Here is a 21,707-nt window from a genome sequence, read left to right on the forward strand (position 1 = left end):
TATATTATATGGAATATAATATATGGAATATAATATATATAATTATAGCGTTGTCTTCCACGCTATAATTTATGTCGTCCTCGGTCTCTTTATGTCACCATTCCTCTCCTTCTGTCTCATCCCACTTAAATCCTCACAACTCCTTCTGTCGCCATCACCCTCTTTAAATCCTCACAACTCCTCTTGTTGTCATCAACGCCCTTAACTCGCTTTCGTTCCCTGTAAGCCCTCTTTGCCACCATAGGTCGTAATCGCTCCCTTTAAATTCGTCATCGCCATATGTTACCTGCATCCTGCTTTTGTTGCCATTTCTCCTTTATAAAATCCTCATTTCTCTTTAAACCCTCATCATACCCCCAAGTCACCTTCGCATGGCTACTGTCCCCATCGCTCTTCTTAAATCGCGCTAATGCAACTCTTACGTCATCATTACCCCTTGTGTCTTTGTCCCTCCCTTGGCATCACTGTTCCTCTGACCAGTCACCATCCACTCCTCATGCTTCCAGTTTTCCCCATAAGGAGCCACCCAGCCTTACAGTTATTTTTCTTCCCTCCGTGTCTTCGTCATTTCCCCGTGTCACATCTCACATAACATACGGGGTACTGCAGCCCATTACCTGGGGTGTGTCAGAATCCCAGCCCCACCACTACACCTCTGGATACCTTGACTGCCTTATGGCACCTTTCCAATCCCAGCTTCATCTGCAAAATGCACACGGGGACATCCACATCAGGGCTGAGTGTGACGATTCTGTGAGTTTATTCTTGTGGTAGGCTCAGCTTGACATGGTGTTTTTGGCTAATATTGTTATTAACCATGTCACCCTCGGCCGGGTGCGGTGGCTCATGCCTGTAATCCCAGCACTTTAGGAGGCCAAGGTGGGCGGATCACCTGATGTCGGGAGTTCGAGACCAGCCTGATCAACATGGAGAAACCCCGTCTCTACTAAAAATACAAAATTAGCCGGGCGTGGTGGTGCATGCCTATAATCCCAGCTACTCGGGAGGCTGAGGCAGGAGAATGGCTTGAACCGGGGAGGTGGAGGTTGCAGTGAGCCGAGATCGCGCCATTGCACTCCAGCCTGGGCAACAAGAGCGAGACTCCGTCTCAAAAAAAAATAATAATAATAGGCCAGGCGCGGTGGCTCACGCCTGTAATCCCAGCACTTTGGGAGGCCGAGGCGGGCGGATCACCTCAGGTCGGAAGTTCGAGACCAGCCTGACCAACATGGAGAAACCCCATCTCTATTAAAAATACAAAATTAGCCAGGCATGGTGGCACATGCCTGTAATCCCAGCTACTCGGGAGGCTGAGACAGGAGAATCGTTCGAATCTGAGAGGCGGAGGTTGCAGTGAGCCTAGATCGTGCCATTGCACTGTAGCCTGGGCAACAAGAGCGAGACTCCGTCTCAAAAAAAAAAAAAAAAAAAAAAACTGCATGATCTTGGGCAACTAACTTAACCTCCCAGCGCCTCAGTTACTGCATCTGCAATATGGGAATGAAAACACAAATTAATCATTCTGCACATAATTCTTAAGCATGTACTATATATGTGCCCAACACTGCTAGACACTGGGGATACCTCAATGAACAATACAGACAAAAATATCTCGGCCTGGCGCAATGGCTCACACCTGTAATCCAAGCACTTTGGGAGGTGAAGTGGGTGGATCACCTGAGACCAGGAGTTTGAGACCAGCCTGGACAACATGGTGAAGCCCCATCTCTACTAAAAATGCAAAAATTAGCCAGGCATGGTGGCGCGCCCCTAAAATCTGAGCAACTCGGGAGGCTGAGGTGAGAGGATTGCTTGAACCCAGGAGGCGGAGGCTGCAGTGAGTTGAGATCGCACCACTGCACTCCAGCCTGGGTGACAGAGTGAGACCCCATCTCAAAAAAAAAAAAAAAATCTGGCCTTATGGACTGTGTACTACACTCTAGTGGGGGTAAGAGGCAATGGGTAAATAGGTAAGTAGATTATTGGATGTATTAGAAGGGGCATGGGGAATGTGGGGTCAAGGTTATAGTTTTAAATAGGGTGGTCAGGGAAAGCTTTCTGAGAAGGTGACATTTGAAACAAATACTTGAAGGAGAAGAGAGAGTAGGGCTGGGCACGGTGGCTCACGCCTGTGATCACAGCACTTTGGGAGGCTGAGGAAGGTGGATCGCTGGAGCTCAGGAGTTTGAGATCAGCCTGGGCAACATAGCGAAACCCCATCTCTACAAAAATTAGCCAGGTATGGTGGTGTGCGCCTGTGGTCCCAGCTACTTGGGAGGCTGAGAGGTGGGGGGATCGCTTGAGCCTGGGAGTTCGAGGCTGCAGTGAGCCATGATTTTGCCAATACACTCCAGCCTGGGCAACAGACGGAGACCCTGTCTCAAAACAAAAAAACAAAACAAAACAAAAAAACGGCCAGGCGTAGTGGCTCATGCCTATAATCCCAGCACTTTGGGAGGCCAAGGCTGGCAGATCACCTGAGGTCAGGAGTTCGAGACCAGCCTGACTAACATGGTGAAACCTCGTCTCTACTAAAATTACAAAAAATTAGGCAGGCATAGTGGCAGACACCTGTAATCCCAGCTATTCAGGAGGCTGAGGCAGGAGAATCGCTTGAACCAGGGAGGCGGAGGTTGCAGTGAACTGAGATTGCGCCATTGCACTCCAGCCTGGGCGACAGCGAGATTCTGTCTCAAAAAAAGAGAGAGAGAAAGAAAGAGTGACATGGCCCTCTGGGGGAACAGCATGCTGGGCAAAGAGAACAGCAAAAGCAAAAGTCTTGCGGTAGGAGCAAGCTTGGAATATTTAAGGAATAGCAAGGAGGTCAGTGAGAGAGGAGAGGGGCAAGAGACGACATTGGAGGGGTGATGGGGCACATCGTGGAAGGCCTTGTGAGCCATGCAGAAGGCTGGCTTTTACTCCCAGTGAGGTGGGTGCCACAGGAGGATGTGGAGCCGAGGAGGGATGCGGTCCAGTGTGACATGAAGCCATCACCCTGAGCTGTGGCAGCTCCAGAACTTCTACCCAGGATCGACTAGTGAGAGGCAGCCTTATTGGAAAGAGAGCCAGAATCTTCTTCAGTCCGCACTCACATATCCTTTATGTTGGGAGAAAGTTTCAAATATCCCTGTCAAAGATCGAGACCGGGCGTGGTGGTTCACGCCTATAATCCCAGCACTTTGGGAGGCTGAGGCGGGCGGATCACTTGAGGTCAGGAGTTCGAAACCACCCTGACCAACATGGTGAAACCTCATCTCTACCAAAATTATATAAAATTAGCTGGGCGTTGTGGCTTGTGCCTGTAATCCCAGCTACTCAGGAGGCTGAGGCAGGAAAATCGCTTGAACCCGGGAGGCAGAGGTTGCAGTGAGCCGAGATCACACCACTTCACTCCAGCCTGGGCAACAGAGCAAGACTCCATCTCAGATAAATAAATAAATAGTCATAAAATTTGAGGGCAGGCTAGGGAAATGCTAACGGAATTTTTGAGAGGCCGGCGCCACCACGGGGTTCAGCTGCTGTCCCAGACGGTGGGGGGCAGGCAGCAGGGGATCTACAGATGATGAACAACAGGAGAGGCAGCTGTCATGTGGCATCTGTCCCTGGAAGCTTGAGGCAGCTTGGGTTCAAATCCTTGCTCCATTTCCTCTCTCTTTTTTTTTAACCAAAGTCCAGTTCCAGGCTTACCACATATCCTATTTCTCTTTATACCTGTGACTTCACCTCTCTGGATCCTTAATTCCCTAAGTGGGATTTTTAAGAGGACTGTTGTGAAAATTAAATATATTAAGTCCAATTTAAAAAAATAAAACAAATATATTAAGTGCTTTGAGGCCAGGCACAGTGGCTTATGCCTGTAATCCCAGCACTTTGAGAGGTTGAGGTAGGCAGATCACTTGAGCCCAGCAGTTCAATAGCAGCCTGGGCAATGTGGTGAGATCCCAACTCTACAAAAAAATAAAAAACTAGCTGGGCATGGTGGCACACACCTGTGGTTCCAGCTACTCAGGAGGCTGAGGCGAGAGGATCACTTGAGCCCAGGAGTTCCAGGCTGCAGTGAGATGTGTTCCCACCACTGCATTCCAGCCTGGGCAACAAAGCGAGGAGACCCTGTCTCAAAAAAAATCAAAAATGAATGCAAGAAGCCCCATTGTCTCACTCCACACCCTGCACTTTTGCAGGCTCACGCCTCCCTCAAGCTGCAGGGTCCCTCGCCTGATGTGATGAAGGGAGATTTTGCATTGTTTTGTTCATGAATTAGTTCAACCATGTACTGCCCTGGAATACAACTGAGCTCTGGGTTCAAATTCCTAGCTGATCCCTATAATCCCAGCACTTTGGGAGGCTGAGGTGGGCAGATCACTCGAGGTCAGGAGTTCGAGACCAGCCTGGCCAATATGGTGAAACACTGTCTTTACAAAAAATACAAAAATTAGCCAGGTGTGGTGGCGGGCACCTGTCATCCCACCTACTCAGGAGGTTGAGACATGAGAATCACTTGAACCTGGAAGATGGAGGTTGCTTTGAGCCGAGATCCTGCCACTGCACTCCAGTCTTGGTGACAGAGTGAGACACCATCTCAAAAAACAAACAAATTTCCAACTGACAAACCAATGCTGTGCAACCTAAGCAGGTAATTTCCCTGAGCCCTGCCACCTCATCTGAAAAACAGAGATGGTAACACTGCTTTGCCCTAAACTTACCATGTTATTATTTTTCTTTTCTTTTCTTTTCTTTTTTTTTTATTTGAGATGGAGTCTTGCTCTGTCACCCAGGCTGGAGTGCAGTGGTGTGATCTCAGCTCACTTCAAGCTCTGCCTCCCAGGTTCACACCATCCTCCTGCCTCAGCCTCCCGAGTAGCTGGGACTACAGGTACCCGCCACCACGCCTGGCTAATTTTTTGTATTTTTAGTAGAGATGGGGTTTCACTGTGTTAACCAGGATGGTCTCAATCTCCTGACCTCATGATCCGCCCGCCTTGGCCTCCCAAAGTGCTGGGATTACAGGCGTGAGCCACCACACCTGGCCCTACCATGTTATTATTTTTCTTTCTTTATTTTTTTGAGACAGGGTCTTGCTCTCTCACCCAGGCTGGAGTGCAGTGGTGCAGTCATGGCTAACTGCAGACCAAGCTCCCAGGCTCAAGCCATCCTCTTGCTTCAGCCTCCCACGTAGCTAGGGCTACAGGCGCATACCACCATCCCCAGCTATTTTTTAGCCTTTTTTTTTTTTTTTTTTTTTTGAGACAGAGTCTCGCTCTGTTGCCCAGGCTGGAGTGCAGTGGCGCGATCTCGGCTCACTGCAACTTCCACCTTCTGGGGTCAAGCGATTCCCCTGCCTCAGCCTCCTGAGTAGCTAGGATTACAGGTGCATGCCACCAGGCCCGGCTAATTTTTGTATTTTTAGTAGAGACGGGGTTTCACCATGTTGGTCAGGCTGGTCTCAAACTCCTGACCTCGTGATCTGACTGCCTCGGCCTCCCAAAGTGCTGGGGTTACAGGCGTGAGCCACCACGCCTGGCCTAGGCTTTTTATTTTTCTGTAGAGACAAGATCTCACTTTGTTGCCCAGGCTGCCCAGGTCTCAAACTCCTGGGCTTAAGTAATCTCCCTGCTTTGGCCTCCTAAAGTGCTGGAATGACAGGTGTGAGTGAGCCACTGTGCCCAGCCATGTTATTATTATTATTTTATTTTTCATTGAGACACTGTCTTGTGTCACCCAGGCTGGTGTGCAGTGGTGCAAGCTCAGTTCACTACAACCTCTGCCTCCCGGGTTCCAGTAGTTCTCCTGCCTCAGCCTCCCAAGTACCTGGAATTACAAGTGCGTACCACCACGCCCTGCTAATTTTTGTATTTTTAACAGAGACAGGGTTTCGCCATGTAGGCCAGGCTGGTCTCGAGCTCCTGACCTCAAGTGATCCACCTGCCTCAGCCTCCCAAAGTGCTGGGATTACAGGTGTGAGCCACCGTGCCCGGCTGTGTTATTTTTGTTTTTGTGTTGTTGTTTTGAGACTGAGTCTCACTCTGTCGCCCAGGCTACAGTGCAGTGGCATGATCTCAGCTCACTGCAACCTCCGCCTCCCAGGTTCAAGCGATTCTCATGCCTCAGCCCCCTCAAGTAGCTGGGACTATAGATGCACACCACCACGCCCTGCTAATTTTTGTATTTTTAGTACAGATGGGGTTTCACCATGTTGGCCAGGCTGGTCTCGAACTCCTTACCTCAAGTGATACACCCACCTCGGCCTCCCAAAGTGCTGGGATTACAAGCATGAGCCACCATGCCCGACCCTGTTGTTATTTTTGAACTGGGACATAAGCCTTTGGCAGTTGTGATGCCACTGTCTCCCTCCCCTGCTTTATTTTTTTCCAAGGCACATTCCATGTATTTCACTCATTTATTTTCACTCCCTCACTCCCTTAGTAGAATAACATCTTTAAGAAGATTTTTTTTCCTTTTTTTTTTGTTTTTTGTTTTTTTTGAGACAGAGTTTCGCTCTTGTTGCCCAGGCTGAAGTGCAGTGGCGTGATCTCAGCTCACCGCAACCTCTGCCTCCCAGGTTCAAGTGATTCTCCTGCCTCACCCTCCCAAGTAGCTGGGACTACAGGCACGCGCCACCAGGGCCTGGCTGATTTTGTATTTTTAGTAGAGACGGGTTTCTCCATGTTGGCCAGGCTGGTCTCGAACTGCCAACCTCAGATGATCCGCCTGCCTCAGCCTCCCACAGTGCTTGGATTACAGGTGTGAGCCACCGTGCCGGCTCCTTTTTTTTTTTTTTTTTTTTTTTTTCCTGCAATCTCAGTTTCTGGAGCAGGGCTTGTCAGCAAGTCATTATTGATTAAATATTAGTTGAATTAATAGATTAATTAACTGGCCACTGAGCACCTGCTATGCACTTTCCTATGCTCCATGGTACTGGGGACATGGCAGTGAGTTAGATAGCCTGGACCTGCCGTCATAGGTCTCCCAGTCAAATAGGAGAGACGAACCCATCATTAGGCACTGCCAGCAGCAAGCACTGCCAGCTAATCACAGCACTGATTTTGAGCAGGAGTGGGACAGCTTAGATTTCTCTAGTTCCAATTTAGAAGTGTTCACCATTCATGATGCTTTCTTGGACCTATTTAATTGTTTTTCAGACTGACCGTCTTCTCTCCCTAGGAGGCATAGGCAGAGGGATCAGGGCTGGGAAAGGGAGGCCCAGGGGACTGTGTGAGCCCAGAGGGCTTCATGGAGGAGGTGGTATGTGAGCGGACAGAAATGAGCAAGGTGTGCTCGGCAGGGAAAGCAGCTGTGGGAGGGTCTGGTGATGAAAGTGTGGTTTTGGTTCAAGGAACTGAAAGATCATAAATATGGCTGGGGTGGGAAGAACGGTGAGAGAGTAGGCCAAAGAGGTCATTCAGGGAAGATCATTCAAGGCCCTGTCAGCCACAGTGAGGAGCTGAGACTGTGTACTGAGGACACCGGGGAGCCACAGAGTTTTTGAGCAGGAGAGGGATGTGTCAAATTCACGTGGAGGTCGGATTGCAAGGATTGAGTGGAGTCTGGAAGCCAAGGGAGGTGGCTGGAGTGGGGACCCAGGTGGGAGAGACTAAGTCAGAGCTTGTGGGGGAGGGCGAATTGGAGAGACCCTCACAGGACCAAGTCGACAAATGGTTGGGGTCCAGGACAAGGCCCAGGGCTGGGGGTAGTCAAGGAGAGCTTTCTGGAGGAGGAGGCACCAAGGCTGAGACCTGAAGGATGGGTTCAACAGCTCTTCTTGAAATGGGGACCTGGGGCAGGAAGATGGTAAGGACAGTTGGGGACATAGTAGGTGTGGGAGTCTGGGGACACCTTGAAGGAGGTATCTGGGGGGCCCTGGAACCTCTAGAGCTGGAGTCAGGGGAAAGGAGGAAACAAGACAGAGCTTTGGGTTGAGAAAGAGGGAATTGAAGCTGTAATGATGGGGGAAGGTCCACAGGGGCCTGTCCATGTAGGGCTCTGTAGGACATGGTAAGAAGTTTGTCCTTTGTCCTGGGGGCAATGGGGAGCCACAGAAGGATTTTGAGCAGGAGTGAGACAGCTTAGGGTTTTTAAGTTCCAGTTCAGAAGTGTTTATCATTCATGATGCTTTTTGGACCTATTTAATTGTTTTTCAGACTGACTGACTTCTCTCCCTAGGAGGGGCACTTATTTTAAAGGGTCCGTTGAAATAAAAGATCTAACTGCTGAAAATGAAAAATCAGTTTGCAAAACCAGTGTTCTGTTCCGTTTTCTGTAGACAATTGATGGTTCAGTCCAAAGAGGTCAGAAACAATTGATGGTTTAGTCCAAAGAGGTCTGTACCATCTAGTGAAAATCAGCACCATTAAACATGAGAACATTTCTGTTTTAAACCATTTGGAAGCCCCGTGAATTTTATTTTATTTTGTTATTTTTAAAATTAGAGACAGGGGTCTCGCTCTGTTGCCCAGGCTAGTCTCGAACTGCTGGGCTCAAGCGATCCTCCCACTTCAGCCTACCAAAGTGCTGGAATTACAGATGTGAGCTACTGCTCCTGGCCAGCCTGTGGATTTGTAAATGTCTCCTGTGGTGTGATCTGCCTCATGTTTCCTGTATGTAGGCTTCAGAAGCACACTCTGCATTCTCAGATGGCTTGAATCAGCCTTGACTTTTTCCCCACCCTCTCAGCCTGAATCTCAGGTTGAGATGCCATTATCTGCACCCACCCTATATGCTCTGGGCTTAGAACTGATACCAGCTGGTTATCATTGTGTATAAAAGTGTCACTAGGTATAGAGAGACATCTAAAATAATCTCCTCTCAAAATTTTCTATTCTGCTGCTCCATTTCTTCTGCTTTCAGTATTTTTTGAGCAATTACAATGGTCTGGGCCCTAGAGCTAGAGGAATAAATCAGACACGGACATAGCAAGGGACACATATGTTGATTATGTGTGATTAAAATGTATACAAGATACGAGGGCGTACACAGATCTCACCAACTAGCATGTTTCAAGGGCTTACTGTGCTTCCTGCCTTCCATGGATGATCTCATTGACTTCCCAACAAATGTGAGGTTGGTATTATTAATCTCCACATTGTTCAAAGAATGAAAGTGTGGCTTAGAGAAGGGAACCTCTTTTCCCAGTTCCACAGAGCTGAGATCTGAAGTCTGAGCTGTGGGACTCTGAGACCCACCCCCTTAACCATTCAGAGATCCCCCAGCCACCACCCTCCAGTGCATATAAGATGATACCCATTTCATTTGTTGTTTTGAGACCGTGTCTTGCTCTGTCGCCCAGGCTGGAGTGCAGTGGCACAATCACGGCTCACTGCAGCCTTGACCTCCTGGACTCAAGCAGTGGTCCCACCTCAGCCTCCCAAGTGGCTGGGACCACAGGCGTAGGCATGGGCTACCACACCTAGCCAATTATCTTTTTGTTTGTTTGTTTTTGAGATGGAGTTTCGCTCTTGTTGCCCAGACTGGCATGCAATGATGCAATCTCGGCTCACTGCAACCTCTGCCTCCCAGGTTCAAGCGATTCTTGGACCTCAGCCTCCCGAGTAGCCTGCCACCATGCCAGGCTAATTTTTGTATTTTTGGTAGAGACGAGGTTTCACCATGTTGGCCAGGCTGGTCTCGAACTCCTGACCTCAGGTGATCCACCCATCTTGGCCTCCCAAAGTGCTGGGATTACAGGCATGAGCCACCGTGCCCAGCCGCCTAGCCAATTTTTTAAGTTTTTGTAGAGATGGGGTCACACCTTGTTGCCCCAACTGGTCTCAAACTCCTGAGCTCAAGCCATCCTCCCGCCTTGGCCTCCCAAAGTGCTGGGATTATAGGCATAAGCCACTGCGCCCTGCCAATATGGCTAATACTGGTTTATAGATGAGGCCAGCAGGGCTCAGAAGTAAAGCCCCATGCTCAGCATCACTCAGCAAGAAAGTGGCAGAGGTGTGATCTGAACCATGAGCTCTCCAATTTAAAGGGCTGCTGTAGAGGAGGAATCAAATCTCCCACTGCCACCCTCCCCTGGGGGTGGGGTGTTCAGGGATCTGTGACCCAGTGGGTTTTACTTCCTCCTTTTTGCGGGCTATGGTGTCATACTCCAAGGGGGGCAGGACCACAAGGCAAGGGGACTAGGGGGTATTCTGTGGGCTGGGAGAGAGCACGCTTCCTGGCAGTGCCCTCTCCCAGATGAGACCTGATCTCTTTTTTGTTTTTTGTTTTTTGTTTTGAGACAGAGTTTTGCTCTTCTTGCCCAGGCTGGAGTACAATGGCGCAATCTTGGCTCACTGCAACCTCCGCCTCCCAGGTTCAAGCGATTCTCCTGCCTCAGCCTCCTGAGTAGCTGGGATTACAGGCATGCGCCACCACGCCCGGCTAATTTTGTATTTTTAGTAGAGACGGGGTTTCACCATGTTGGTCAGGCTGGTCTTGAACTCCCGACCTCAGGTGATTTGCCCACCTCAGCCTCCCAAAGTGCTGGATTACAGGTGTGAGCCACTGCGCCCGACCGAGACCTGATTTCATCTCATGTCATACCAGCAAGGAGGCAGAGCATAAGTACCAACCTGGATGGGGCGCGCTGGGAGCCCCATGGAGGTTCTAGGGTCCTGAGAATACAGGCATTGAGACGGGCTGAGGAGGAACTCCAGCATCCGGCTGCCCGTGCCCACCTTCAGTTTCACCCTACCCTGCTCCCACAAGGATCTGAGCAGGGAGGGGGCCTGATTTCCTTCTCCCGCTGAGACCACAGTCCTCTGGAGGCTAGGATCTGGTGATGGGGCACCCTAGCTAGGAGCCTGAGCCTCTTTATAATTTAGTTTCCATAGAAGTTATATGTGCATTTAAAAAAATTCAATGTAAGTAAAGACCTACAATGAAAAGCAACCGTCTTGTCTCTGGGGGTGGGATGGGGGATGCCTTTGCGTGGGGAGCTGTTAGGAGACTTGACAGTCACCTTTGCTGAGAGCCTCCTGCATGTCAGGGGCTCTTCTATGCACATTATATGTGTGCTAATTCCTTTTTTAAAACTTTACTTTTTGTGGAGATGAGTCCTGCTGTGTTGTGTAGGCTGGTCTTGAACTCCTGGCCTCACGCAATCCACCCCCAACCTTAGCCTCCCGGAGTGCAGGGATTACAGGTGTGAGCCACCTTTCCCAGCCTGTTGACTCCTTTAATTCAGAGGAGTCAGTCAGATTTTAGACATCTCAAATGTTGTATGTTCAAAACCAAACTCCTGGTCTTTTCCCCAAACTTGTGTCTCCCTGTCTTGCCCAATCAGCTGTTGACACCTCCAATCCTTGCAGTTGCTGCGGCCAAAACTCAGTCATCCCTCACTCCTTTACTGCTCTCAAACCCACATCCAGCCTAGAAATGCCATCCCCTCCACCTTCAAAATGCATCCAGACCCCGCCCTTTCTTCGACACTTGGCTGACCACACCCTGGTCCTGTCCACCCTTGGCTCCTGTCTGGATGCTCCCAGCAGCCTCCTCCCTGGGCTCCCTTGCCCTGCCCCAGTCTGTTCCCCACGCACAGCCGCCAGGGGATCCTGTAACACCTGTGTTTGTTTCTTCGGGCTGCTGTAACAAATTGCCACCAAGTTGGTGGCTTAACACAACAGAATGTATGGCCAGGCGCAGTGGCTCCTGCCTGTAATCCCAGCACTTTGGGAGGCCGAGACAGTCGATCATTTGAAGTTGCACCACTGCACTCCAGCCTGGATAACAGAGCGAGACTCCGTCTTAAAAAAAAAAAAAAAAAAAAAAGACAACAAATTCATTCTCTCAGTTTTGGAGCCGAAGTCCAAACTCAAGGTGTAGCAGGGCCATGCGCCTCCAGAAGCTGGAGGGGAGATTCCATTCCTCACCTCTCCCAGCTTCTAGTGGCTCCAGGCATTGCTGGGTTTATGGCCACATCACCCTAATGTCAGCCTCCCTGTTCACATGACCTTCTGCCTGTTCTATCTCTGAGGACAGTTGTGATTGGATTTAGGGCCCATCCAGTTAGTCCAGGATGATCTCATCTCAAGATCCTAAATCTGATTACAATTGCAAAGATCCTTTTTCCAAATAAGGTCACATGCACGTAAGTTCCGGGGATTATGCTTGCGTGGGACACATCTTTTTTGAGGCCACCATTCAACCCACTACAAAATCCAACTGAAGCCCAGCGAAGTGGCTCATGCCTGAAATCCCCGCACTGTGCGAGGCCAAGGCAGGAGGGTCACCTGAGGCCAGGAGTTCAAGAGTAGCCTGGGCAGCGTAGGGAGATCCTCATCTCTTTTTTTTTTCGAGATGGAGTTTCGTTCTTGTTACTCAGGCTGGAGTGCAATGGCGCAATCTTGGCTCACTATAACTTCCTCCTCCTGGGTTCAAGCGATTCTCCTGCCTCAGCAATCCCGAGTAGCTGGGATTACAGGCATGTGCCACCATGCCCAGCTAATTTTTTATTTTTAGTAGAGACAGGGTTTCTCCATGTTGGTCAGGCTGGTCTCGAACTCCCAACCTCAGGTGATCCGCCCACCTTGGCCTCCCAAAGTGCTGGGATTACAGGCATGAGCCATCACGCCCAGTGGAGATCCCCATCTCTTAAAAAAATCTGAAGCAGATCACATCATCCTTCCCTGCTGGGAACCCACACGTGACCCTGTTCTACTCATCACAGTCCAGGCAGCCCTGCAGGATCTGGCCCTATCACCTCTGTGACATCTCCTCTCCCACTCCCCCCAGCCCACTTCACTGCAGACACACTGGCATCCTCACTCTTCTCCATCCACACCAGGCACATTCCTCCCTCAGGGCCTTTGTACTGATCATTTTTCCCACAGATGTCCATCTCACCCCACCTTGAAGTTTTTCTTCAGGTATCCCCTTCTCAGTGAGGCCTTTTCTGACCTCCTTATTAAATATCACAAACAATTCCACCCCCACCCCCTTCCCTGATCCTCTATGGCACTTACTACCTTCTAACATTATATCATTTATTTATTATCTTGTTTATTATCACCTTTTTTTTTTATTTTTTGAGACGGAGTTTCCTTTGTCGCCCACGCTGGAGTGCGGTGGCGCCAACTCACTGCAACCTCCACCTCCCTGGTTCAAGCAATTCGCCCACCTCAGCCTCCTGAGTAGCTGAGATTACAGGCGCCCTCCAACACGCCCGGCTAATTTTTGTATTTTTAGTAGAGATGGGATTTCGCCATGTTGGCCAGGCTGGTCTCGAATGCCAGACCTCAGGTGATCCACCCACATCGGCCCCCCAAAGTGCTGGCATTACAGGCGTGAGACACCGCGCCTGGCCTCTGTTTTTCCCTCGTGTCTATTTTGTTCACAGCTGTATCCCCAGTGCCTAAAACAATACCTGATGCACACAAGGCAACCAGTAAATGTGTGTAAAATTAACGAACAGCAAATGCTATTGTTACCATGCCCATTTTGCAGATGGAGAAACCAAGAGCACAGAGGTGTTGTCACTTCTCCAAGGTCAAACAGTCACTAAGTGCAGAAGCTCAGATTCAAACACAGGTATCTGGCTCTAGCACTTACTGTATTGTCTTGCCAGTCTCATCCAATCGAAATCACTTCTCCAGTACTAGTTTTTATTTGTTTGTTTTTTATGAGACAGGCTCTCACTCTGTCAGCTGGGCTGGAGTGAGGTGGTGCGATCACTGCTCACTGCAGTCTCCACCTCCCAGATTCAAGCAATTCTCCTGCCTCAGCCTTCCACATAGTTGGAACTACACGTCCACACCATCATACCAGGCTAATTTTCTTTCATTTGTTGTAGAGATTAGGTCTCACTATGTTGCCCAGGCTGGTCTCAAACTCCTGGGCTCAAGCAATCCTCCCACCTTGGCCTCCCAAAGTGCTGGGATTACACGTGTAAACCACCGTGCCTGGCCCTCCAATATTAGTTTACTTTTTAATCAAAAGTTAACACAATAAGAAAAATAATACAATTAAAACATCAAAAGTTAAAATTAAACTAATCATTACAGACCTGTAATCACTGTACAATTTGGAAGCCAAAACATCACTGACAATTTGAACGAAGTCCATCTATTTTCTTCCTATTTTTATTTTGTTTTTGTTTTTATTTTTTATGTTCTTGTAGAGACTGGGCCTTGCTATGTTGCCAAGGCTAGTCTGGAACTCCTGGGCTCAAGCAGTCCTCTCACCTCAGCCTCCCAAAGTGCTGAGATTACAGGTGTGAGCCACGGTGCCAGGCCTTTCTCCTTATTTTTGGTTTATTAGTGACCATCCCAGTTCTCCAGCCCTGACGCTGCCAGCCCTGTTACTTCAGATCTCCATGCCCCACCTTGCCTTCGGTTTTGTTTTTCTTCATCTTGGCTTCCCTAATTTCACATTGCCTGCTGTTCCAACTCCATATTCTTCAATAAAAATATGTCTCACCAAGGCCTTCAAAGAAAATTGAAGACAAGCATTTCCTGCACTCCCTCCTGCCTCCTCCACCCACAATGTTGTGGTCAACCGCCTCTAAGACTGATGTTATCTTCTGCTTCTCCTAGTGACCTCTGGAGTTTCAAATAACCTTAGTCTGTTGCTGTTTCTTGCTAGATTTGTTTGTTTGTTTGTTTGTTTGTTTGTTTGAGACGGAGTCTCGCTCTGTTTTAACCCAGGCTGGAGTGCAGTGGCGCAATCTCAGCTCACTGCAACCTCTGCCTCCCAGGTTCAAGCAATTCTCCTGCCTCAGTCTCCCGAGTAGCTGGGATTACAAGCGCCCGCCACCACGCCCAGCTAATTTTTACATTTTTGGTAGAGAGAGGGTTTCACCACATTGGCCAGGCTGGTCTTGAACTCCTAACCTCAGGTGATCCACCCACCTCGGCCTCCCAAAGTGCTGGGATTACAGGCGTGAGCCACCACACCCGACCTGCTAGATCCTTTTTAGGCATCCCCATTTGTCTTCCTGCCATGAAAAGAGGGGATCTAGCATGTTCTACCCTCGCCAGTCTGGGATCTGACATTGGTAGGGAGGAGTTTGCAAGTTATCCCTACAAATCTAGGTTGGATCTTGGAGTAAGGGGAGCACCTAGCTCTGAGAGTTTTCTTTTTCTTCTTTTTCAAAAAAGAGTAATGCGCGCCCCTGATTTTTTAAAAGGTAATGAAACTGGTGACGCCTGTGTTTGCTTTATAATTATTTCTCAACCTACACCGAGATATTTTCTATACTTCTCTGAAAATAGCTTATGTTTCACAATTTTAAAAAAGAAAATAGGCTGGGCACAGTGGCTCATGCCTGTAATCCCAGCACTTTGGGAGGCCAAGGCAGGCGGATCACGAGGTCAGGAGTTCGAGACCAGCCTGGCCAACTTGGTGAAACCCTGTCTCTACTAAAAATACAAAAATTAGCTGGTCGTGGTGGCAGGCGCCTGTAATCCCAGCTACTCGGGAGGCTGAGGCAGGAGAATCGCTTGAAACCACAAGGCGGAGGTTGCAGTGAACCAAGATTGTGCCACTGCACTCCAGCCTGGGCAAAAGAGCGAAACTCCGTCTCAGAAAAAAGAAAATAGGGGCCAGATGTGGTGGCTCATGCCTGTAATCTCAGAACTTTGGGAGGCCAAGGTAGGAGGATCACTTGAGTCCAGGAGTTCAGCCTGGGCAATAAGCAAGACCCCGTCTATACAAAATTAAAAAAAAAAAAATTAGCTGCGGCTGGGCGCGGTGGCTCATGCCTGTAATCCCAGCACTTTTGGGGGCCTAGACGGGCGGATCACGAGGTCAGGAGATCGAGACCATCCTGGCTAACATGGTGAAACCCCATCTCTACTAAAAAATACAAAAAAAAAATTAGCCGGGCATGGTGGCGGGCGCCTGTAGTCCCAGCTACTCGGGAAGCTGAGGTGGGCGAATTGCTCGAACCAGGGAGGTGGAGGTTGCAGTGAGCCGAGATGGCGCCACTGCACTCCAGCGTGGGAGAGACAGAGCGAGACTGCGTCTCCAAAAAAAAAAAAAAAAGCAGCTGGGCATGGTGGCACGTGCCTGTAGTCCCAGCTGCTTGGGAGGCTGAGGCAGGAGGATTGCTTGAGCCTGGGAAGTTGAGGCCGCAGTGAGCTATGATCATGCTGCTGCACTCCAGCCTAGGGAACAGAACTCTGGCACTAAAAAAAGAAAAGAAAAGAAAAGAAAATAGGCTTACAATAAAAAGCAATCTTGACCTACCCCAAAATCCCACTCCCTTGAAGACAACCACTTCTGCCCTGTTGCTTCTCTCAGTAATACTCCTTTTCTGCAGTTATCTCTTGACTTCCTGCCATGTGTGTTTGGGGGAGCTTGAGGGAAGAGGGTGTCCCTGTCTCATTGAGAGAGGTGCCACCCTGCCGTGAAAAGAGGTGCCACCCTCTGTCAATTAGGAGAGGAGGGATGAGAGAGGAAAGGGGTCTCCAGTGTATTTCTCCAGCCGGGGCCTTAAATCCCTCTTGGGAGATATGGGATGGGGTGGATCGGAAAATAAATTTTTTTAAATCCCTACCAAAATATCAGCTGGCTTTTTTTAAAAAATCAAATACCAAAATCTAAATAGACTCCAACAGAAAATTCACCATCTCCTCTGACCTTTTCTTCCCATCTCATGCTGTGAACTGTCTTCTGTTGACTTTATCGCTACCTTTCTTCATTCTGTTATTCAACCATGATCTCTCCGTTTCATTTTATAAGCGTTTTATTAATTTCATTTATGTATTTATTTTTGACTAGGTAATGCATGTCCATGGTACACAAATTCACAAGGTTTGTAAATGAGAAAAGACGTGAGGTTCCTTTTGTTCTTTACCTGTGGCCTCCCTGCCCTACACGGGGACTCTAGGGTGGAATGTAGCAAAGCCCATCCACCAGCCATGTACTACCCCCCAACCCGGCCAGGCTGGAGCGACCGTGTCTGGGGAGCCGAGCCCCGCTTCTCGCTGCGGTGAGCCCGGACTGGGGCACGCACTGCGCAGACTCCCCGCTGCAGTGGGCGGAGCTCCCACAGGCCCCGCCCCCTCCTCCCACCCTCGTTCAGCCTGTCCAGACAGAAGCTGGGGCCCACCGGAGGTAGCTGCAGACGCCTGAGAGCGAGGCCGAGGCCCCTCAGGGGTAGGTGGGGGGAGGCTGGCTGGGGGGATGGGCAGCGGGGTGGCAGGGAGGCCCCGATGATCCCTGGCTGAGCTGTGTGGTGTGGGGGCACCTGAGGGCGGAGGAGCCACCTAGAATATACCCCCTGTCCCAGGGCTGAGAAAAGCCAGGCACAAAGACCTGGGGCTCCGCTGACCTCATCCAGCGCTGCCTTTCTTGGGGTGTCTACAGGTTGGAGGAGGGAGAAGGGGGCTGCTAGAGGGGAGCTGCGTGGGTGCTGATGGGGGCAGGGTGGGCACTGCAGAGTGAAGAGCAGGCAGCAGAGCGTTGGATTTTGAGGGATTTCGAAATCCTGCTGACCAGTGACCAGCTTCCTCTTTTTGGGGTGGTGGGCAGTGTGCCAGTGGCCCCCATGATTATGAATAGCCCCAAGACTAATCACTCTTCTGTGATGTCTGTCCCTGGAAAGCGTAGAACACCCCACACAGTGCCCACTTTTGTTCTGCCAGTTTGGAGACCCTGACACACCCACCTTCTCACCTGGGCTCTGCGTATCCCCCAGCCTTGAGGGAAGATGAAGCCTAAACTGATGTACCAGGAGGTAGGTGGATTGGGGGGCTCAGCAGGGTGGAACTGGGTACAGTGGGGGTGGGGGTTCCCAAGAGCCACCTGTCACCCCCGTTGTTGTCCCCATCCCCAGCTGAAGGTGCCTGCAGAGGAGCCCGCCAATGAGCTGCCCATGAATGAGATTGAGGCGTGGAAGGCTGCGGAAAAGGTAGGAGCCCTCCGCCACCCTCGCTCTGTCTCAGAGACAGGCTGGGCTGCCCCCCTCGGGCTGGCTGACCACCTCCTCCTCCCCACAGAAAGCCCGCTGGGTCCTGCTGGTCCTCATTCTGGCGGTTGTGGGCTTCGGAGCCCTGATGACTCAGCTGTTTCTATGGGAATACGGCGACTTGCATCTCTTTGGGCCCAACCAGCGCCCAGCCCCCTGCTATGACCCTTGCGAGTAAGTGGGGGGTGCTGCAGTTGGTGGGGGAGGGGCCTGCCAGACCAGGTACACTTAAGCACACACTAAACAGGGCCTGCACTCAGCCCTACCCAGCGCTTGCGACAAGTGAGGAGGTTGCAGGCTCCCAAGTGCTCGCCCGCCCCCTCCTCCTCCACACACATAGTTTCTATGGCAGCCACAGCGTCATCTTCTGTCAGGCCTGTGAACAGACACAGCATCTTCCACCCACATCTGTGGACCCACACACACATCTCAATACACGACCTTCCTTCCACACCTCTAGACAGACACGCAGAGGATCATGAGTCCAGGCACGCATTCAAATACACACAGTTTTAAAAAATTTTTTTTAAAAGAAAAGAAAAACTCAAATACAGTTTAGCTGGGCTTGGTGGCTCACGCCTGTAATTGCAACACTTTGCGGGGCTGAGGCGGGAGGATTGCTTGAGCCCAGGAGTTCCAGACCAGCCTGGGCAATGTAGTGCGGCTCCATCTCTACTAAAAGTAAAAAAAGTAACCAGGCATACTGGTGCACACCTGTAGTCCCAGCTACTCAAGAGGTTGAGGCGGGAGGATCGCTTGAGCCCAGGGGTTCGAGGCTGCAGTGAGCTGAGATGGCGCCACTGCGCTTCCAGCCTGGGGGACAGGGCAAGACTCTGTCTCTAAAAAAAAAAAAATACAGTCTATCCAACACACCCATGGACGGACAGCTGAGCACTCACCTCCCAGCCCTTGCTCTCCGGCACCGTATGGCTGATAGCATCCCCCACCCCCCAGAGCAGTGCTGGTGGAAAGCATTCCTGAGGGCCTGGACTTCCCCAATGCCTCCACGGGGAACCCTTCCACCAGCCAGGCCTGGCTGGGCCTGCTCGCCGGTGCGCACAGCAGCCTGGACATCGCCTCCTTCTACTGGACCCTCACCAACAATGACACCCACACGCAGGAGCCCTCTGCCCAGCAGGTACCTGCAACCTTGGCCCTGGCCGGCAGCAGGGGCAGGGGGTGGGAGGCAGCGGGGGCTGTGGGGAATGAAGGGGTTTCTCCTGCAGCCCAGGAGACAGAGGGGTGTGTCTCACACAGCAGATTGGACACAGGTGTTTGCAAGCAGCTGTCGTCACGTGGCTCTCTGGACTGGGGGCGTTTGTCACGGTCATCTGTAGGCCTCTGAATGTCAGGGTGCGGGTTTGGTTACAAGGGATTATTAGGCTGGCAGATGTCACTCACCCACAAGCTGTCCTGACCCAGTCACACAAAGAAAGGGAAGAGTGGAGTAATTAACAGCCCAGCCTCAAGACAGGGGCCACCTCCCAGCTGTGTGACCCCAGGCAGGCCACCTCTTCTCTCCAGCTTCAGTTTCTTTATCTGTAAAATGGGGCCAATTTATAGCACCTGCTTCTTAGGGCTCTTGTGAGGATGAAATGGACTAATCCATGCAAATTTTAGCACAGTGCCTGGCACAGAGTCAGCCTTTGTGAGTCTGCTGTTACTATATATCCTGGTATGGTCTGCAGACAAACTTAAAGAACATAAAAGCTTCACAATTTGAAAAGGAACAGCCTACATGGATAACCTCTTCCATTGAAAAACCATGAATTTGTTCCTTCTGTTTTCTTCTCCCTACTGGCTCTTTTTGTGAGAAGTTGTCTTAAAACTTAACTAAAATTACAAGGCTCCTTAAGAACTGCCTGAAAAAAATAATTATGGCCAAGTGTGGTGATTCACACCTGTAATCCCAGCACTTTGGGAGGCCTAGACAGGAGGATCACTGGAGCCCAAGAGTTCGAGACTAGCCTGAGCAACATAGTGAGACCCGCCCCCCACCTCCCCTCAACCATCTCTACTAAAAATAAAAAAAAATTAGGAGGGTGTTGTGGTGCATGCCTGCAGTCTCAGATACTCAGGAGATGGAAGGAGGAGGATGGCTTGAGCCCAGGAGTTGGAGGCTGCAGCGAGCCGTGATCATGCCACTACACTCCAGCCCAGGCAACATAGCAAGACCCTGTCTCAAAAAAAAGAAAAAGAAAAAGTAATAATAATAATTACAAAAGTTAAAAACCAAAGCCAGGCATAGTGGTACACACCTGTGGTCCCAGCTACTTGGGAGGCTGAAGCAGGAGAATGACTTGAGCCTAGGAATTGGAGGCTGCAGTGAGCTGTGATCATGCCACTGCACTCTAGCCTGGGCAACATAGTGAAACCCTGTCTCTAAAAAAAAATTTTTTTATGTTAAAAAACCGTATGAGCTCCCACTCCCTGCTGGCTCCCTCTAAAGTGGTTTAAAACACAGATGTAGGAGGCAGATGGTCTGGGTTCAAATCCTGCTCCATAGCTGGATGTGGTGGTGCACTCCTGAGGTACTAGCTACTTGGGAGACTGAGGCAGGCGGAATGCTTGAGCCCAGGGATTGAAGATCAGCCTGGGCAACATAGCAAGTCCCTGTCTCAACAAACAAACAAACAAAAAAACAAAAACAAAATCCCACTCCACTACTGAGTTCTCTGTGGGGATTATAATTAAACCAGCCTCACTGGGTTGTGAGAATTCAGTGAGTTCGCTGAGAAGAGGCCTAGAACAGGGCCTGGCACACAGTAGGTTCCAGGGCATCCTTGACTGTTGCTGTTGTTGGCATCATCGTGCCTCACCCGATACCTTCCAGGACCCCCTGCCTGAGCCTCGCCCCCACCATACTGGGAGATGCCTGGAGGCCCTGCCTTGATGCTGAATTTTGAGAAAGTCCCTGGAGGGGCAGGAGGGGTCAGGAGGACTTGGAGGGGGATCACAGGGCAACTAATTATTAAAGCAGATAAAGATGTTTAAAACAGATAAGGAAGTCTTTTAATATTTTAATCTGTAAAGTCTTTAATCTATGCAGGCTAATGTAAAGTCTGTTTACTCCTAATCATGTCTCAAAATAACTCCACCGGGCATTACCTTGTGGGGTTGGAGAGCTGGCTGGTCCAGCCCCTCAGAAGCTCTCCCCTCCCCGCAGGGTGAGGAGGTCCTCCGGCAGCTGCAGACCCTGGCACCAAAGGGCGTGAACGTCCGCATCGCTGTGAGCAAGCCCAGCGGGCCCCAGCCACAGGCGGACCTGCAGGCTCTGCTGCAGAGCGGTGAGCTGGGGCCCAACTGGGGCTGGTCTGGGCCTGGGGGTACCCAGCCTGGCCCCTGATCTCTGCCCCTGCTGGTCACAGGTGCCCAGGTCCGCATGGTGGACATGCAGAAGCTGACCCATGGCGTCCTGCATACCAAGTTCTGGGTGGTGGACCAGACCCACTTCTACCTGGGCAGTGCCAACATGGACTGGCGTTCACTGACCCAGGTCTGTCTGCACCCTGTCTACCTTCCTTCCAGGCCACTCCCTGCCCCACAGGGCACCCAGCCTCCGACTGCATCCCTCACTCAATCCAGAGTCCTCTCCACCCATTCTCTGTAATGGCTTCCTTCTTGCCTCCTACCAGGCCTCCCTAATCCAAGCCATGCACGGTGGCTCACACCTATAATCTCAACACTTTGGGAGGCCAAGGTGGGAGGATTGCTTGAGCCCAGGAGTTGGAGACCAGCCTGGGCAACATAGTGAGACCCCATCTCTACCAAAAAAAAAAAAATAAGCCCGGTGTGGTGGCACACACCTCTGGTC

The 21,707-nt window shown here is 50.5% G+C and overlaps 1 protein-coding gene and 1 non-coding gene across 4 annotated transcripts in view, besides 2 other annotated features; both read left to right on the forward strand.

Annotated features, from left to right (window-relative positions):
* The window catches only part of PLD3 (phospholipase D family member 3), a 29,791-nt gene that overhangs the window by 154 nt on the left and 7,930 nt on the right, over positions 1-21,707 (forward strand). The window contains exons 1-8 of one of the 3 annotated variants that reach the window (NM_001291311.2): positions 10,794-10,847; positions 16,870-17,082; positions 17,571-17,662; positions 17,762-17,836; positions 17,925-18,067; positions 18,848-19,031; positions 21,060-21,180; positions 21,262-21,389. In NM_001291311.2, the coding sequence (NP_001278240.1) occupies positions 17,636-17,662; positions 17,762-17,836; positions 17,925-18,067; positions 18,848-19,031; positions 21,060-21,180; positions 21,262-21,389 (678 nt within the window). In that variant the 5' untranslated portion in view covers positions 10,794-10,847; positions 16,870-17,082; positions 17,571-17,635. Of the gene's footprint in view, positions 1-10,793; positions 10,848-16,704; positions 16,738-16,869; positions 17,083-17,570; positions 17,663-17,761; positions 17,837-17,924; positions 18,068-18,847; positions 19,032-21,059; positions 21,181-21,261; positions 21,390-21,707 lie in introns of those variants that run through there. The other 2 variants (NM_012268.4, NM_001031696.4) reach the window with 2 other exon arrangements.
* Positions 7,065-7,254: an enhancer, noted in NCBI's record as "active region_14649". NCBI's record gives its function as "activates an Ori minimal core promoter by ATAC-STARR-seq in GM12878 lymphoblastoid cells {active_cell/tissue: GM12878}" and the evidence as "EXISTENCE:reporter gene assay evidence [ECO:0000049][PMID:35858748]".
* Positions 19,098-19,263: a silencer, noted in NCBI's record as "fragment chr19:40873853-40874018 (GRCh37/hg19 assembly coordinates)". NCBI's record gives its function as "represses an EF-1alpha promoter that drives an FKBP-Casp9 reporter gene in an ReSE screen in K562 erythroleukemia cells {active_cell/tissue: K562}" and the evidence as "EXISTENCE:reporter gene assay evidence [ECO:0000049][PMID:32094911]".
* Positions 20,998-21,059, forward strand: MIR6796 (microRNA 6796). The gene has a single exon (NR_106854.1). It is a non-coding gene; the product is annotated as a microRNA 6796 (primary transcript).

This window comes from Homo sapiens, chromosome 19, assembly GCF_000001405.40.
Source record: "Homo sapiens chromosome 19, GRCh38.p14 Primary Assembly".
Taxonomy (NCBI): Eukaryota; Metazoa; Chordata; class Mammalia; order Primates; family Hominidae; genus Homo; species Homo sapiens.